Consider the following 19,594-nt stretch of genomic DNA (forward strand, 5'->3'; position numbering starts at 1 on the left):
CCACTTGCCTCTGAAGGGCAGGATATTCATTACAATCCCCCCTGAAGAAACTTCTGGAACGTTTAGCATTTCTTTAGAGAATTTACTTGTAACCTATCCAGTCAAGAATCCATTTATCGTGGAGAATGTGGTTGATTACATGGAAAATCCAGAATTTTGTTGTTGTTGTTTTTTGTTTTTGAGATGGAGTCTTGCTCTGTTGCCCAGGCTGGGGTACAGTGGTGTGATCTCAGCTCACTGCAACCTCCGCTTCCCAGGTTCAAGCAGTTCTTCTGTTTCAGCCTCCTGAGTAGCTGGGACTATAGGTGCAACACCACTGCACCTGGCTAGCTTTTGTATTTTTAGTAGAGACGGGGTTTCGCCATGTTAGCCAGGCTGGTCTCAAACTCCTAACCTCAGGTGATCCACCTGCCTCCGCCTCCCAAATTCCTGGGATTACAGGCATGAGCCAACATGCCCGGCCTAGAAAATCTAGAACTTTTGATCTGAAAGAACATTTACTTTCTAGATTTTGCTGGAGAACACAGGGATTATTGTTTTGCTATGTGGTTTTTTTAAAAAAATTATTTAAGATTTTAACTGTCTCTACCAGTTTTTCATTTTCTCTGTACAAAGTATGTATGTCTTAGGGCATGCTTCTCCTAAAAGAAAACTTTAATTTTTTCATCATGGCCACAGTTTATGCCCGTATCCCTTCTGAAGTGCTACATTTCAGTGTCAAAGATTAACCTGAATTACATGGTGAATACAAGGTCACTGCTTAATTTTTGAAAGAGTCAGATGATAGCAATGATATATTTACATGAAAAATGAAATAGCTATCTATCATTTATCTAATCTAACCCATCTGTCATCTACCTGTCAATATCTTTGATGTTATGTGTGAATGGCGAATTGGAAAAGGCCAGTCCTTTACTGTAGGTTCTTCCTATATTGATATATTTTTGGGTTATAAATAATATTTGCAGAATCATATTCAATTGGGATAAGTTTAAGGTAACTTAGTCAATTTATCTTGATTTGATATTGCTTACAATTTAGAGATAAATGCAGATTTCACTTTAACAAGGCATAGTCCCTACATTTTAAAACAAATTTATTTTGGTGCTTTTCAGGTGGACTTTGTGTTAGCAGTAAGGAAAGTGAATGAAGACTGGACTATTTACCAGTGATAACTGAAGCATGTCCTGTGTACTACAGTGCAGATAAAATGTTATAGGAATTTTTTTGTTTTTGCTTTACTGTATTCAGAGAACCATCACCTCTTCCCAAAAGAAGAGGTACTTAAGGAGATTGATAGATCTCCACCTAAAATGTTTTCATTAGCAAACACACACTTCACTGTTTCAGTAAATGCGAATACAAATTTAGAGACAAAGCAAGAGTTTGAGAACTTAATTTAAGCGTGTCATTGATGGCTAATGGAAGAACCTGTGCGCTGAGTTAAACCTGTGCTGATTCCTGCAGATAAGACTGTGCTGGTCATCGACGTTGGGTGTCTTTTCCAACTGGCTGCTGCATCTGCCCGATTCACCACTATCCACACCACTCTGGCTGATAAATATTGTGAGTGTCAACCCTGGTTACACTTAGTGAGGCTAAAATCCTTGCGTGGCCACCTAGTAGCTGTTTGACTGTGTGTTTATTAAGTAACCTCCCTGAGCTTTAGTTTACCTCTCAGTAAAATAGGAAAATAATAGTAAAATAATGGTGCTGTTGGGAAGATGGAATTAGAGATTGTGTATAGAATATTTATCATCTTCCCTGGCCAATAGTAGGTGCTTGTTAAATGTCAGTCCTCATCTTCCATTTTCTTTGTTCTCCTGACCTTGTCAGGAATCTCTGCTTTCTTGACTCAAGAATCACAGAATGATGAGACCTTAGAGACTGAAGGAAATGCTGGGACCATCAGATCCAACAATCCCTTAGGTTCAGGGATCTATCTTATTGGCAAAACTTTGACTATAATCTAGACAACTATCCTGGGCTACCTCTTCTGTTTGTATGTGTTATAATTCAAGATGCATACTTGCTTTGTGTATACTTTGTCCTGTATTTGTTTGGATATTTAATGCATCATTAACCTGGTTGGTCAGCTTCCAAATTTCTGCCACTATTAGATAAGGAAAAATGGAATGAGAGATAGTGGAAGGATCAAAGTAAATTCATCCTGGTTCCTGGGGAGAACCTTCAAAATTTATGTCCTACAGAGAGAAGATCAGTAGCATTGTTTCAAATGACAGTACAGTTTAAAAAAATTCTTTTCATTATACATCATTCCAAGAAGGACCTTTTTGTTCTACAGCTAATTTTTATGATGGGGAAAGTGTTTCTTTTTTGAGTTTCAGTGGCTAGATGACATGGCAACTGCTTGGCAACACATATTGCAAAGCTTGAATTATTCTTTTCCCATTCTTATTTAGTACATTATAGAACAAAGCTAAATAAATGAATCCAGTGACCTTAAATCTACGTACAAAACCTTTATAGTTTGATAAAGCCTAATTTTAGTATTTGTCTTATAATAAGCTGTGTAAAAATTTTATCATGAAATCCAAAGCCATCAAAAATAGACTGTAGATTCATGCCAGGATTAGATTTGTTTATGTAAATCCAAAATATTTAGTGTCAAGTGGTACTAAATACGCAGGTTCATTGAGAAAAGTGTGACAAATACTTGGATTTTAGTAATTTCATTTGTATGTATGTGTATATGTGTTTTAGTTTTAAAATATGATTCTGCCCAATTTAAGTTAAAATGTATGCTAGACTTTGCTATTTCTGTGCACATGTCCCTCTACTGCTACAGCTGTCTCCCTACCTCTTCCACAAAGTCACTCTTTCACATCTATCTGGAGACCATCTTGTTCTCTAAAATCCCCTGCAAGAACTGGACCATTGCATCCCCACCTGTCATATGCACGACATTTACTTTCTGGGCTGTTCATGACATATTGCAATAGGTGGTGGTTTCTATTTCTTATTGATCTCTGGTTATTCAACTTAGGAAATATTTTTCTCATTTCCTTCAACAAAACAGAACTATAAACTTTCTGGGGAAAGGAGCTATATGGTCTATTCCTGCACTACCCAGCATGGGTGTGCCCCATACTTGTTGATTGCAGCAATCTTGTCCACATCCCCAGTAGGAACCAAATAACCATGGAGGTATTTAGAGAATCATCTGCCTATTACTTTAGGATTTGTGTTTAGCTGCTTTATTGGGGTGGAGGGGATTTATTCCTTTTTACCTATCTCTTTATCTTGCTTTATCAAATCCAGATCCTCATGGTTCGTTTGCCTTGCTGTGTCTCCCATGTCCATCTCAGGTCTCCTGTAAGAGGATAGGTTGGACCACCAAAGCCAGAGGTAGCAGCAGCATTGTCAGAAATACACAGGAAGTCTGTTCCTTGTCCTAATCCAGATACGCATCAGCAAACACGGACTTAGCAGGAAGTCAAGCTTTCAAGTAAAGCCAGTGAAGCACTGAGGGGAAGCATCAGAAATACACCCCAAATTGACTTGGCGTCTGTCGCCTGGGACTGCCTGGGCTGTGAATGGAAAACTCTTGTAGATTAAAGGAGGGGAGCACAGGCAGTGGGTGTATTTCATACTTACTATCCTTTTCAGAATCCCTGCGAAATGGTTGACCTTAGAGGGGACTCTCGATGATTACACCTAAGTCTTTTCAACCTGTTGTTCCTATTTACACTTGTGCTTTATGGATTCCTTCAGGGAGAAGCGTTTTAAAGGAATACAGAAAGCTTTCCACCCCAGAGACACTCAAAGGTGGCAGCTTAGGCAGATAGCTTTCATTTCTCTGTTTGTGATTTTCCTTCCAGGATAAAATATTTCTTCTTCCCCTAAGCGTCTGGATTTTGTGATCTGGGACATGCTCGGATTTAACAGTTTGAACTTTTAAAAATAATAATTATTTGAGGATATTCTGCTCTTTTATCTGTGGGAAGACTGGGGAATCTGGAGTTACTTCTGTAGCTTTTTAAAAGCTTAGCTTTCTCGAAGTGCTGTTTTTTTAAACTATCATAAGTCAAATTTATCATGGGGATAAAGTAATAAAGACAAATATTCAACCAATAATGAAAAGCTAAATAAACGGGTATGTTTAAGCTCTATTATATGCAGGGGAGTACATTAAGGCAGATCTAAGAGACACTTTAATGGATTTAACATTAGCAATCAGACCTGGACTTGGTATAAATCAAACACCATCGCATTTCAGTCTAATGCACACCCACTCATTCATTAGCACCATTCAACGCAGATTATAAATATTAGCCAAGAAACCTTCAGTTCTGGAGATTCTTTCCACAGACACAGCAATAATAGAACAATAATGATGACAATTTTATTTTTATGAATCGCTATGGCTTACTTTTATTGATTTGCTCTTGGGCCTGGAGAAAGCTTCCTCAGCCAGTATACAACAGGAAGTGGTTCTAGCATTATCAGATAGGCCATAAAGAGATAAATAAAATAAAGGGGGGTAGGAATGATGGTGGGACTCGGCAAGCTGCTGATATAAGCAAGAATTACTCCCCTCACTCCCAACAATAGAACAACTTAAATTACCTCCCTTCTCCCTCCCTGCTCCTCTCTTCCAATTCAGTGAAAGGAAAATACTCCCAGGCTGTAAATGTGCATTAACTTCGGAGCTGAACATTTTGGGGTTCTTGGTAGCAGCTAGAGGGAAATGAATAAGATGGGAATAAATGAGCTTGCTTAGGCATTGCATAAAAGGAGGGTGAAACCCCACAGGAATATGGCCTTTCACTGCCTGCTTTGATGATGTGCAGCTTCTTAGTAACAAAGGCAGTGTAGCCTTCTGAAAATACTCCATCCATGATTATGAAAAGGAGCAGGTCTCTGGCTGCCTATTCCTTCTCCAGAGCACATGATGTCCTGACATTTTCCGTGCACTTTCCCTGCCTTTTATCTCTCAGAGGCAATGAATTGAACATCCTGGGGTATCAGTAAGAAGGAAACACTTCTATGGATCTGCACATGTGTTTCCACAGCTGCCATTGTGTTTTTCCCCTTTGCGGTGACAGATTTCAGAGGTTTTGTTTCACACTTATTCCCTCCTATCCCCAGTGACAAACTGGACTTGTACCTCTGTTTATTCACTGCATTGAGATCTCACCATGTCTCTTAGTGAAAGGAACAAGAGCAAATGCATCTTTGAGGGTCTATGAGTCTTCTGCAAATTCCATACAGTGAAGCAGACTGGCAGGTTTGGTCATGACAGGGGCAGTGGTAAGAGAAATTCTGTCTTTTGGCAGTTACTCTTCCATTCTCAGTGGACTTTTCTTTCCTGGGCAAAAATTTCTGGGTCAGTTTATAATGGAGGTGTGGACAAGCTGATGCCTAAGAGCTTGTTTCTAAGCTCTTGTTCAGCTTGTACATTTGCTGTTTCTATGACTCATCCATATCCCCATGGAAGAATGGGATGTTGAGCTACCCCCATAGTTAGGGAAACAACCCTGAGCAGCATAAGCATAGGAATAGCTGCTGGCACAACCCCACATTCTAGTTCATTCTGCATGTCACCTTTTTGATTACATCTTTAAGGCAAGCCTGCCTGAATGCTTTAATTCTACCCTTTCCCCAGAAAGTAAGTTCTTTTGACTTTAAAGTTAATTAAACTATAGCTATAACTTAATGCTTAATAAATTAATGGTTTTCAAAATGTTTTAAAGAATTCTGAGTGATTTGGTAACCTGATGAGCTATCATATAACAACTGGAAAAGATCTCAGATCTAATAACATCAAAAATCCACAAAAGTTCAGCATCATATTTTGTGGTTATTGGAGAAAAGGAAGGAAGGTACATTATTGGCTTGAGTTTAGATGGGGGGATCTTGTGTCTCTGAAGGAAAAAAAAATCACTCTGTAAACCAAAAATATCTCAGCAACTGCAACTTGTGTCGAGCTTAACCACAATTCCATGGTGGTTTTCAAGCTCTTTGATGCACACAAGTTCAATGAGCTCATTGGTTTCTAAAAGTATTAAAGGGAATAATTGTAAACGTGACCAGTCCCAGGAGGGCGACTGAGAAAGTGGTTGCTGGAGATTCCTGATGGAAAGAACAGAAATTCCGGAAATGGATGATGGTGCCCCCCCGACCCCAAGAGTGTTTATAAAACATGAAGAAGAGCCAGGCACTACTCATTTATTAAAAAAGTAACTCATTTAAAAATACTTATTCTGTGCCTACTATGAGCCAGGTGCTCTACTAGGTACCGAATAAATGACAATGAGACAGACATACCTGCTGCCCTCAAAGATCTTATTCTAGTAGAGGGAGACAATTAAATTAATTAAGTAATTTTAGGTAGCAATAATTGGTAGAACATTATGTAATAGGGATGTGGAAGAGACCAAATGGGAAAGGTGATTTTTATTAAAGGCCTTATAATTCCAAGTAATAAATATAGGTTTTCTTCTGAGAGACCAGTATCATTATCTTATTTACAATTCACAAAGATAACTGTGGCTGCTCTATGGGAAATCTGCCAAAGTTTAATAAATCTGTGGAATAGCTAATTACTGATTGATGGGAGACTGAGAGTCTCCCATTCTTGATGGCAAATGGATCTCTAGTTGCTCTGAAGTTCCAGGAAGTAAGCTAACTGGGAGCACAGATGATGTTTTCCTTTCTTCTGGTTGTCAGTAGTGTCTTTGGGAGAAAAAGACCAGTTACAGAAATGCAGTTTAACAGCTCAGTTTAATTTTCTGCATAGTGCTTTCAGTGATCAAATAAGGGGTTCCAGGAAAGAGTGTCAAAAACTCTGCGTATTTAGGAATTTGCTTTTGACCCTGGCAGGATAAAGGGGGCAACTGTGCAAATGTGGCAGTAGTTAATTGCAAGGTCTAGTGAAGATTCTAATAATTAGCATGGTGCCTAATGCACGTAGGTGTTTGGTAAACATTTGCTAGATGGGTAAAGCCAGGATTATTAACCAAACACCGAAGTTTATTGAAAGACAAGGTAGAATTGGAAATAAGTTCACAAACATTGAGAAAGGCTAGGAAACTCCTCAAATGAGACAGGTCCTGGTCTGATAATTATGGCCCCCTTTGATTCACTGGAAATGTGTGTGTGTTTGTATGTGTGTGCATGCATGCACATGTGTATGTTACTGGTAGAAGAATTCTAGGTACCCAGGAGACCTGGACAGAAGTTATTAGGCACATAGGCCTCCCCACAAAGGCAGCATGCCTAGATTTGGAAAGCCATCAGCACTAATTGCTGTCTAAACATGAGAGGTGTTACTTGACCTCGTGGTGCTCCAGTCTACCAATGTAGTCCTTGTCTGGTAATGTGGAATCTCTGATGTCATTCTGGTCTGCATTCCATTGCATTCTACCTAGAAGCACCAAAGCAGTCAACAGGATCAAAGAATATAAGTGAGAGCGGATAACATGAATGCCTTAATCTCTGAGTTATTGGATTATAATATTTGTGGTGTTCCGACAGGAGCTGAGCAGTCAGTGAGAAGTCCAGGGATCTTTCTTTCCCTTCTCCAGACCAAATCTGGCAGCAGAACCAATTTCTTCTTCAAGTGGCAAGTGCCTCTCCATGAAAGGGTGCTATAATCTTACAACTTCATTTCCCAAATTTCCTTGGTTGAATGTATGCGTCTCCTATGTTATTGTAAGGTGGAGAATTGAATGTTGATTTCATAAATTTGATAGGGACTTTTGAAAAAAACTGCCATGCAATTAATTTTCTTCACTCATTATGTATATGACAGTGTCTCCGCTGGGCTCAGATGACAATGCGCAGAGTAGGAGAGAGGGCTGTTCTCCCTCTGACTCCACCTCAGATTCCAAGGCTTGAGGGAAGGCACCAGAATAAAACAACTCTCTGCAGACCGATGTTTTCATGTGAGACATCAACTGCAGTGGTGGTGGCCAGGTGCTGCCTTTAAATAGCTGTGGACAGAGGATTTCCAGAAGGAAGGTGGAATGGAAAAAAATACAGACAGACTTGGTCCCAATGACATGGCACAGCAACCCTAGAAGAGGGAGAAATTTGAGGACTGCAAGTGGAAAAGCAGGGCTGAATGTGAAGAGGGGTTACAGAGAGCGGGGAAACAGGAAGATGAATGAGGAGGCCAGAAACCAGTGGGGGGTTGCACAGAAGTTCAGACAAACTAGTGCAAGAAGGACAGGGCTGAGATCTTGGATGCCTAGTGGTCCACAAGGCCTGATTTTATAATATCTGAGGTTGCTGAGTGTTATGCTGAGGTCTTAGGGCACATGGTAGGCAAGAATTCCATGATAAGCTTATTGTATGGAGTTTTATAGCTGATAGGGACCCTAGTGAAAAGGAACATAACAAATGAGGAAACTATGGTATACAGCTTCAGTATGAGCCCAGGTGCCCAGGTCAGAACCGTTCCATTTCCCCCCAAAGTCCTCAAATGCTTTGGTTCCAAGTGACCATTGCACTGTGGAGAATCTTAGTATGGAAAGTAGCTTGGCCTCTCAGACATGCATGAGCACACATCTCAGAACCTTCATTTTAAAAATAACTTTATTTTACTGTGGTAAGAACACTGAACTTGAGAGCTACCCTGCTAAGAAAATGTTAAGTATATAATACAGTGTTACTAACCATGTATATATATATATATATATATATATATATACACACACACACACACACACACACACACACACAATGTTGTACTGCAGATCTCTAGAACTTATTCATGTTGCATAACTACAAATTTATGCCCCTTGATTAGAAACTCATTTCCCTCTCCCACATAGCTCCTGGCAACCACAATTTCTCTCTTTGATTTTATGAATTTGACTATTTTAGAACTTTCTTTTTGTGTCAAAATTAAAATTATGTTAGTCCATTTTCATGCTGCTGATAAAGATATCCCAGAGACTGGGTAATTTATAGAGAAAAAGAGGTTTAATGGACTCACAGTTCCATGTGGCTCGGGAGGCCTCACAATCATGGTGGAAGGTGAAAGGCATGTCTTACATGGCAGCAGACAAGAAAGAATGGGAACCAAGGGAAAGGGGAAACCCCTTATAAAACCATCAGATCTCGTGAGACTTATTTACTACCATGAGAACAGTATGGGGGAAACCACCCCTATGATTCCATTATTTCCCAGCAAGTCCTTTCCACAACATGTGGGAATTATGGGAGCTGTAATTCAAGATGAGATTTGGGTGGGGACACAGCCAAACTGTATCAAATTGCCTTATAGGAAAAGAATATCAGGAATTAGGATTATTGACATCAATAGGCCCCAAGGCAACCTTCTGGAGGGCCATAGAATAATAAGGAATTAGATAGTGGCTATATCCTTTTCTTGTCAGCAGTGTGTATTTACACGATCTTGGCATTGCGTAACTGTGTTTTTCTTTTTAAACAAAATAAAAATATCAGAGGAGTTCTGCAGTAAATAGAAAATTGTCTTAAATGACATAAAAATTAAGAACATTTAACAAAATCTTCACAACAGAGGGAAGGCAAGCAACAGACCTTCTACAGTCAGTGGCTCAGTGTTAATGACACTGAAGTTAGGGTGTCTTCCCTGTCAGTCTGATTTCTTCATGGTGGCAAAATGGCTGCAGTAGGGCCAGATGTCACATCCAGAATTCTTTTCCAGTGTGTCTCTTTATAGGAGTTAGAAAAATCTTGCTCAGACACTTTGCCCAATCAAAAATACTAGTCAGCTATTGCCACAATAATGCTGAGTTATAAAATATCCCCAAATTTGTCCCTTATAGAAAAAGCATATATTCTCAAGCTCATAAGTCTGGGTTGACTGTGCTTTGGCTGTTGTAGGCTGAGAAGCTGTGCCTTAGTCTTCAGGGGCTTCTGGGAATAGCTACAGACTGCAGGTTGGGTTCAAGTCAGCTTCAGGTGTGTTTGTTCTGGTGCATGGGCTCTTGGGCAGCAATTACTGTAGACATCTCTTTTGATGGGGAATCAATAGAGAGCAAGAGCAAGTCATATTAAGTCCTGTGACCCCCTAACCCCCATTTCCTAACATCCCATTGGCCAAAACAAGTTACATGGCCAAACCAAACACAAGTTAGGTAGAGAAGTAAACTCCACTCACAGTGGGAAGAGGAGGGCGGTGAATGTTTATTGAACAATAATTCATCTGTTACTCTCTCTTCTCCAGCATGACCTGTAGGCAACCTAGTGGTAATTGCTAGGCACAGCACTCCATTAATAGCATTCATTAATTATGACAGGGACTCAAAAGAAATAGAAGCACAGGCACAGAACCTCAGTGTTAGCTGGTGTTCATTACCTAACTCACGGAAGGACAGGAAATGTTCAGAAGTGGAAATCCTCAGGGTCTGCTTGATTCCTGTTCTAGTTCCCCACTGATCTGGCTGCAGTCCCAAGACTCTGTCTCTATCTCCATATCTTCTCTGGCCTTCTTTTCTCTTGGGCTCCATTCCTCTGTCACTTTCCACCTTCCTTTTGGGTCCTTGTGTGCCCTTGACTCTAGAGTGATGACCAAAGGAGTGATCCTGGGAGGAAAAGGTGCCAGGGAGATATGTGTAATACTTGTAGTTAATGATAGCTAACATTCTCAGTGCTTTTTAAATGCCAAGAACAGTGCTAATGGTTTTATCTGTATTACCTGTCATTCTCACAATGACCTAGTGAGGTGGCTGCTATTACAACTCCCATTTTCCATAGGAGGACATTGAGGTTCAAAAATGTGAAAGTGTTCAAGTTTACAAAACTAGCAAGAGGCAGAATTGGGATCAAAACCCAGGTGCATCTGACTCCAAAGTTATTCCCTTAACTACTATGCAATTTTTCCTATTAAGGATTTATAATTAAAAAGCACATTAAAATAGAATCATTGGAGATAGGAAAAATAATTTTTTTCCTGTATTGAAAATCAATTATAAAGTTTTGTGGTATCATATCCCTTTATCCCCAATATGGATCTAGCAGAAGCCTGTAAGTGAAAATAACAATGTCAAAAGTATTATTTTTATGGAGTTGTTAATTGTTTTATAGAGCAAACTCATAAAAGTCACAGGCCACAAAACATAATTACAAACTGCACTCGACATCAATTACAGGAAATATTGATTTCTTTAACTCACATCTTATCCAGAGCTATAAATTATGGGAAATAGGGGAATGTGTGTACAACTCCTGTCTGGATGTCTAATCATATACCACTTCCAAATGCGTTCATTATTGGGGTAGTGTTGAGGATGGACTACACTACATTACATGACCCTTTCTTTATAAGGATTCATGGGAATATGTTTTTTTTTTCTTTCAGATCTCATTCCTTGAAATATTGTACATCTCTTACTTGTTTTTGTCTTACACGATCTATGATTCCTGTAACCTTTGTTTTCTTAAAGTGTCTTTCAGGGATCCATGGTGGGTCCCTGAGACAAGTTCAGGGAGTCTTGGAGGTAAAATCTATGTTCCTAATATGAGAGCTATTCGGCTTTTGCATTCCCATTATCTTGTGAGTGTATGGTGGAGTTTTCTGGAAGCTGCTGAATATGTGGTATCACAACACGTTGAATGCAGAAGCAGACACAAGAATACAGTTGTTTTCTGTTTAGCCAGATATTAACAAGATTTGCAAAAATGTGAAACAATGACAATCTTCTAATGTTTTTGGGGGGAGAAATCTAGTTATTTTCCATAAAATGTTATTTATATTAACATGTAATAGGTCTATTGCTATTTTCAAGATCAATTCATAACTATTTTTAAAATTTCTCAGTTTTGATTGCTAATAAGATAAATGTCAGTAGATATAACCCACATAAACAGCTCTTTGAGGCCCTCAATAAGTTTTAAAAATGTAAATAGATCCCGAGGCCAAAAAGTTTGAGAACTATTGCTGTAACCAACTGTGTTTTTTTTTCCTTTGTTTTGGAAGCTAGAAAGCCCAGACCAGATTTGTAGTCCACCTCCAGCATTTGTCTAAGATCCCAAGACATAGAATTTATGGACTAATATTTCCCCATGCAGTCTTTTGTTTTTAACCCTTATTTTTCTTTCTAAATGATTTTATATTCTATTTTTAAAGCTTCTCTGTTTTATTTTAAAATGCTTTATCATAAGATTCATGTAAGTTATTATGGGTCACTGGAAATTAAACAGTTGGTAGAAAGAATGGGTTGCCCTCTTGGAGCGTGGTATAGAAATGCAATATTAAAGATTTTCAAATAAATGTGCTCTTAAATTCAAATGCTGCTTCTTACAGAGTGCAGGCGGCATCTTCTTGGTTATTGTTGAAACCATTGCCACTATATCTAAATGAATGGTACTTTCGTCCTGGAGTCTCTTCAATCTCTATTCTCTAAATTATGCATATCCTTTTAGGTACAGCCTCTCCCACTCACTCTGCCCGTTTCTCCTCCCTGAGCCTAGTAGAGTTTTTTTTTCCTTTTCTTTTCTTCTACTTTGCATTTATGTTCTCTATGACCTATTCTTAAAACATATTTTCTAATGCATTTCTTGAGTTCAGAATAAAAGGCTGGTACTTTCAGCGTTACTTCATCTTCATTATTAGCCTCTTACAACTCTCTCTGATTTAAGGTTATTGTATGATACTTGAGCTCTCTGCTAATGTACATTACATTGGCACTGTAATCAGTGCACATTTCAAGGGCTTCAGTCAACAGTAGTACCCGAAGCTTTGAATTCAAAAAATGTATAAAATTATTTTTGCAAATTTGTATCTAAATAGAGAAGGGGATTAGATTGGTCTAAAGCATGCAATAAGGCATACCTTTCAACTTTTCATTGTATATAATGTACAGATGATTAATTTTTTTTGAGCTTTAGTTGATCAACTATTGTTGTAGTTTTGATAAACACTCTAATATTTTCTTTCTGGTTGAACTTGAGAATAACTTATGTCTCTCTCTCATAGCTGAACTCAGTCGTAAACCTGTGATGGGGAAAATAAAACTATGGTAATGTTTGATCATTGTGGCATTATCTCCAACGAATGGGTAGTTTCTTTTGGTAAAGCTTTCTGATATCTTTGTATGGGTTAGGGGTTAGTTAGAGTTGAATTCAGGAGAGCTGAGAATGAGATCAAATAAATTATCCTGAGGATATCCATTAAATTGAAAACTCTCTTGTTTTCTAAATGACGAGTTTCTCTCATTTATCTAAACGTGTCTTGATGGCACATAGATGATATGGTGGCTATTTTTTTTTAACCACAAAACTCAGTGACATGGACCACCCACAGTAAATTCAGAGTAGAGGCCTCTCATGAGGACATATTTGTACAGACATAATAAGTCATAATGTGATGAAAAGTAAAGTCAAAGTTCTCTCACAAACAATAAATAACTGCATTATTTTAAGTTTCCTAACTACAGCTATTAAGCAGTTCTTAGAAAATGATTTCTTGACTTACTACTTACAAAATCTGTTGGAGAAGAGCTTTCTACCAGGGTATTCTTACGGAATGGAGGAAAAAAATAAAAAACCAAAAAGTGTCAGCCTGGTCCCTAAGGTCTTCCATAATCTGCTCTTGCACTTATATCCCTAACTTTCTTTCTTCCTTTCCGTTTCCTTTTTCTTCTTCTTCTTTTTTTTTGACAGAGTCTTGCTCTGCTGCCCAGGATGGAGTACAGGGCACAATGTCAGCTCACCACAACTCCTACGTCCCGGGTTCAAGTGATTCTCCTGCCTCAGCCTCCCAAGTAGCTGGGACTACAGGCGCCTGCCATCATGCCCAGCTAATTTTTGTATTTTTAGTAGAGATGGGGTATCACCATGTTGGCCAGGCTAGTCTCGAACTCCTGACCTCAAGTGATCCACCCACCTTGGCCTCCCAAAGTGCTGGGATTACAGGCGTGAGCCACCATGCCTGCACTCACAAGGTTGTGCAGCCATCACTTCTGTCTTGTTTCAAAACATTTTCATCATCGCCAAAGACGACCCCATGCCATTTTGTAGTCACTGTGCCTCATTCTCTCCTCTCTCCAGTCCCTATTTACTACCCATCTGCTTTCTGTCTCTATGAATTTTACCTATTCTGGATATTTAATGAAAATGAAATTGTGTAATATGTGACTTTGTGTATGGCTTCTTTCACTTATCATAATGCCTTTGAGGTTCAACCATACCATGACATGTGTCAGCATGTCATTCCTTTGACATCTGTCCATTTTATCTCATTTATTTTAGATTCCTTTATTAGGTGCATGCACATTTAAGATTGCTATGTCTTCCTTATGAATAGATCCTTTTATTATTAAAAATAATCCTGCTTTTTCTCATAATGCTTCTTATCAAGTACTTCTTTTAAACTGTGTCTCTTGTAGAGAGAGGAGAGTAGAGTTTTTAATGGTTACTTTACATAGATGGGATAGACTCCCCACTGCCATTCCTATTAGGTTTTCATGTCAAGACTCACAATGCCACACATGCACCAAGAGGGTGTGTGAAAAGGTTTATAACCACATGATGAGGCTTTCTGGGGAGGGCAGGGCTGGCACCCAAACTAGCAAAACAAATGGCTTGAGAATTAGGGAAAAAAAAAAAAGACTGCCTTGACTTTTATTGTGATTAGAAGGTGAAGCTGGGATGAAGGTTCCTGTGCATGAACTGGGGACTGTATGGTTTGAACTTTTCACCAGTGCCAAAGGAAGGAGCACTTGGCTTTCTTATCAGCTTGCCCAGATGTGGGTTAGGAGGGGAATGAAAAGTGGCAGAGCTTGAAAGCTGCCAGCAGTCAAACATAAAATATGGTGTCAGACTCTTTATTACATAAATATTACCTTTTAATAAATTCAGCATGACAGTCTTTGGCCTTTAATTTAAATATTTCATTCACTTACCCTTGATTTTAGCATTTCCTTTTGATTCTTTCTTAGAGTTTCCATTGTTCTGTTTACATTAGCCATCTATTCTTGCATGCTGTTTACTCCTTCCAGTAAAGCCCTTAGAATATTACAAGCATACCTCAAAGATATTGAGGGTTTAGTTCCAGACCACTGCAATAAATTAAATATCACAATAAAGAAAGTCACACGAATTTTTTTAAGTGCATGTAAAATTTATGTTTACACTGTACTGTAGTCTATTAAGTGTGCAATAGCATTATTCTAAAAACAATGCAAACACTTTAATCAAAAATACTTTATTGCTAAAAAATGCTAACGGTCATTTGAACATTCAGCGAGTCACAATCTTTTTGCTACTGAAGGGTCTTGCCTCAATATTAATGGCTGCGGACTGACTAGAGTGGTGGTTATTGAAGGCTGGGTGGCTGTGGCAATTTCTTAAAATAAGACAGACGTGAAGTTTGCCCCATTGATTTGACTCCTCCTTTTACAAAAGATTTTTCTGTGGCATGCCATGCTGTTCGGTCCCATTTTACCCAGAGTAGAACTTCTTTCAAAATTAGAGTTTATCCTCTCAATCCCTGCTGCTGCTTTATCAACTTAGTAAGTTTATGTAATATTCTAAATTATCTGTGGTCATTTCAGTGATGTTCACAGCATCTTCAGGAATAGATTCTATCTCAGGCAGTCACATTCTTTGCTCATCCATAAGAAGGCAACTCCTCATCCATTCAAATTTTATGATATTGCAGCAATTCAGTCACATCTTCAGGCTCTACTTTTAATTCTAGTTCTCTTTTGTTGCCTCTACCACTCTTCAGTTATTTCCTCCACTGAAGTCTTGAACCCTTTTACCTCATTCATGAGGGTTGGAATCAACTTCTTCCAAACTCCGATTAATGTCGATATTTTGACTTCTTCCTATGAATCACCAACATTCTTAATGGCATCTAGAATGGTGACTCCTTTCCAGAAGGTTTTCAATTTACTTTGCCCAGATCCATCAGAGGAATCACTACGTATGGCAGCTATAGCCTTACAAAATGTATCCTTTAAATAATAAGGCCTTAAGCTAGACATTACTTCTACAGTGCTGATAGATTTGCTTGACTCAGGGTTACCACAAACCTTCCATTTGTAAAAAAAAATAAAAATAAAAAAATAAAAAAAAATACAGTATCTGTGAAGTGCAATAAAATGAAGAATGTCTGCAATGACAGTTATTTTGAATTCCTGGTCTAATAATTCCAAAACCTCTGCCATATATTATCTGAGTCTTGTTCTTGATGCTTTAACAAAAAATCTTGTCAGACCATGGTTTTGCCTTTTAGTATGCCTTGTAATTTTTTGTTGAAAGCTGGACATGATGTGCTGGGTAACAAGAACTGAGCATCAGGCCTCAAATGTGAGGGTTTGTTTGTTTATCTGGCTATGAGTTAGACTGTTTACTGTTTGCTGTAGCAGTGGTATCAGAGGCTAAAATTTCCTCTAGTGTGCTTGTTTTTGTCTACCCTGTTGTCTTTTTGTGTCCCTACAGACTCTTTGAATAGAGTATGAGAATTGCAGTTCTTTTAGCTTTACTCCTCTCCTATTATGTAGCAGTCATATTGATGCAGTGGTAAGGTATGGGAAGAGGGGAAGTGTACTATTGTCCTATGCTTGGATATTTTCTTTTCCTCACATTGGGAGCGTGTTATTCTCCTGCCTCCAGATCATTTAGGCTTTGGTAAAACCTCGGCCAATTTGGCTATAACAAAATAGATTTCCTTGAGGGCAGGATTGGTTAGGGGGAACAGAAAGCTCTGGGTATTATTTCAAAATGATTTATTTTCTCCTCCTCTTGCCTGAAGCACAAGGAGAGTTCTCGTCGATTTTCACAGTGAGAACCTGGTAGGTAAAACTCATTTAAGCATGGGATCCTGTGTTCGTCCAGACCCTTGGAGTTTTAAATTCTCAGGCTGGTTCAACCTGAGTTAATTTGTCAATTATGGTTTAAAGTGTTCCTATGGATGTTGGCTTCAGCTGCAGGCTCCTGTATCCACCTCCCTCTCTAGTTTTCGAGATGGCAGTTTGTTTCATGACCTCTATGAAGAGCTGCTATCTATCTATCTATCTATCTATCTATCTATCTATCTATCTATATACCTATCTACCTATCTATGAGAGGAGTCTTGCTTTGTTGCTCAGGCTGGAGTGCAGTGGTATGATCATAGCTCACGTAGTCTCGAACTTCCAGGCTTAAGCAGTCTTCCCTTCTCAGCCTCCTGAGTAGCTGACACTACAGGTGCCTACCACCATGCATGGCTAATTTCTTGTATTTTATTTTTTTAGAGACAGGGTCTCACTATGTTGCCCAGGCTGGTCTTGAACTCTTGGCTTCAAGTGACCCTCCCATCTTGGCCTATCAAAGAGCTGGGATTACAGGCATAAGCCATTGCACCTGGCTTCATCTTTTTTGTTGTTGTTGTGAGGAGGATAGGAGTGATAACTACCAAGCTCTTTACATGTTGGACTAGAAACTGTTCTCTTACTTTTAATGTAATTATCGATGTTGTAGAATTCAGGTCTATCATTTTATAATTATCTAATTGTTGATATGGCTGGATATAGAGTGACTATTAATTTTCTATTTGTTTTATTATTATTATTTTTTTGTTTCTCCGTCTTCCTTTCCTGCTTTCTTTTAGGTTAATCATATATTTAACTTTCCATTTTATTTCTTCTGGCATGTAAGCTATTTTATATGTCTAATTTTTGTAGCTATTCTACGTATTATAGTATGTAATATATATATTTTTTTGAGATGGAGTTTTGCTCTTGTTGCCCAGGCTGGAGTGCAATGGTGTAATCTCGGCTCACTGCAACCTTCACCTCCCGAGTTCAAGTGCTCCTCCTGCGTCAGCCTCCTGAGTAGCTGGAACTATAGGCGCCCACCACCATGCCTGGCTAATTTTTGTATTTTTAGTAGATATGGGGTTTCTCTATGTTGGTCAGGCTCTTCTCGAACTCCCAACTTCAGGTGATCCACCCGCCTTGGCCTCCCAAAGTGCTGGGATTGCAGGTGTGAGCCACTGCACCTGGCCAGTATGCAATATTCTTAACTTAATACAGAGTGAATATTGTACCATTTTTTGTAAAATATATGAACCTATACAAGAGTATAATTTCATTTATCCCAACCTTTGTCATATAACTGTAATTTTTTTCTAAAATATGTGTATATTTGTATTTTATAAAATATAAAAATATTTTAAAATAATAAAAAAACGTATCTGTGTTCTAAAGCCTATAAAGCCTACAACAATATGTTATTATTTGCTTTAACTTGACACTTGCCTTTTAAAGAAATTTTAAAAAGAAAAATAATCATTTATAATTATTCTCATATTTATCATTCTTAATGTTCTTTATTCCTATAGACATGAGTTTCCATTTGCTTTCATTTCTCTTTAGTCCAAAGAATTTCCTTATTGTTTCTTAAAATTCATGATTGCTGATCATGAATGTAGTTATCATGTTTTCATTTTTGAAAAATGTTTTCACTTGATATAGATGTCTGGGTTGGTACATCCACCTGCCCCTTCTCCTTTATTTTGCAGTAAAAAAATATTGTTCTTCTGGCCTCTACTATTATTAATGACAACTTAATCTTCATTTTTATTGTCATTTTCCTGTATTTAATGTGTCTTTCCCCCTCTCACCAAATGCTGTTAAGATTTTTTTTTTTTTTTTTTACCTTTAGTTTAAAAGTTTATGATGTTTCTAGATATGGGTTTGTTTTAAAAATTTTGCTTGGGATTACATATTCTCTTGGAACAGTAAGTTAATTTTTTTAACCATATTTGAGAAAGTTTTTAGTGATAATTTCTTCAAGTATTTTTTCTTCCTCATTTCCTCTCCTATGCTTCTGAGACTGTAATTATTTGTGTTTGATAACTTAATATTGCCCCATAGGCCACTGTAGCTTTATTTTGCTGTTCTGAATCTCTATTCTCTCTATTCTTCATGTTGAATTACTTTTACTGACTATTATTTTAAGTTCACTGGCTTTTATTTTTTCTGCAGCCTATGTGGCCCCTTTTTCTGCTGTTACGCCCTTTCAGTGAATTTTAAAATTTCAGCCGTTCCCCCTTTTTCAGTTCTAGTGTTTCCCTTTGGTTCTTTTTTATATCTTCTATCTCCCAGTTGATCTTCTTATTTGTATAGCCATTCTGACAAGTTTTTCCTTTAAGTCCTTGACAGTGTTAAAGCAGGTGCTTTAAAGTCCTTGTTTTCTAATTCCAACCTTTAGGTCATCTCAGGATCAATTTCTATTGACTATCTTTTCTCTTGATAGTGGGTCACATTCTCCTGACTCTTTGCATGTCTACTGTTTCTTTACTATATACTGGACATTATGGATGATGTATTGTAAAATCTCTGGATGTTTTTATCTTCCAGTGAAGAGTATTGGTTTTTGTTTACCTAGGTGATTAAATGACTGGCTGATCTCCTTGGAAGCTTGGTGTTATTAAGGTGGGTCTGTTGATTTTGCCCTTAGTATTACTAGGGTAAATTCCTTAATTCAGAGACAAACATTTTCATCCTAAAATATGCCCTTCTGGGGTTTTAGTGGAAAACCAAAGATGTTTACCCAAACCCTCTTACTTTGGAAACACCTAAACTTCAGATTCTTCCTACTGTGCAGTGGGCAGCACCAGGTATTTCTGCTCTACTCTTTTAGCGTT

At 38.2% G+C, this 19,594-nt stretch overlaps 1 long non-coding RNA gene across 1 annotated transcript in view; it reads left to right on the top strand.

Annotated features, from left to right (window-relative positions):
• Positions 1 to 15,012, top strand: part of LOC107987083 (uncharacterized) — a 122,361-nt gene extending 107,349 nt beyond the window's left edge. The window contains exon 4 of the long non-coding RNA XR_001746759.2: positions 1,468 to 15,012. This is a non-coding gene — a long non-coding RNA (uncharacterized LOC107987083). The remainder of the gene's footprint in view (positions 1 to 1,467) is intronic.
• Positions 15,013 to 19,594: the final 4,582 nt, after the last annotated feature.

Source organism: Homo sapiens, chromosome 9 (assembly GCF_000001405.40).
Source record: "Homo sapiens chromosome 9, GRCh38.p14 Primary Assembly".
NCBI lineage: Eukaryota > Metazoa > Chordata > Mammalia > Primates > Hominidae > Homo > Homo sapiens.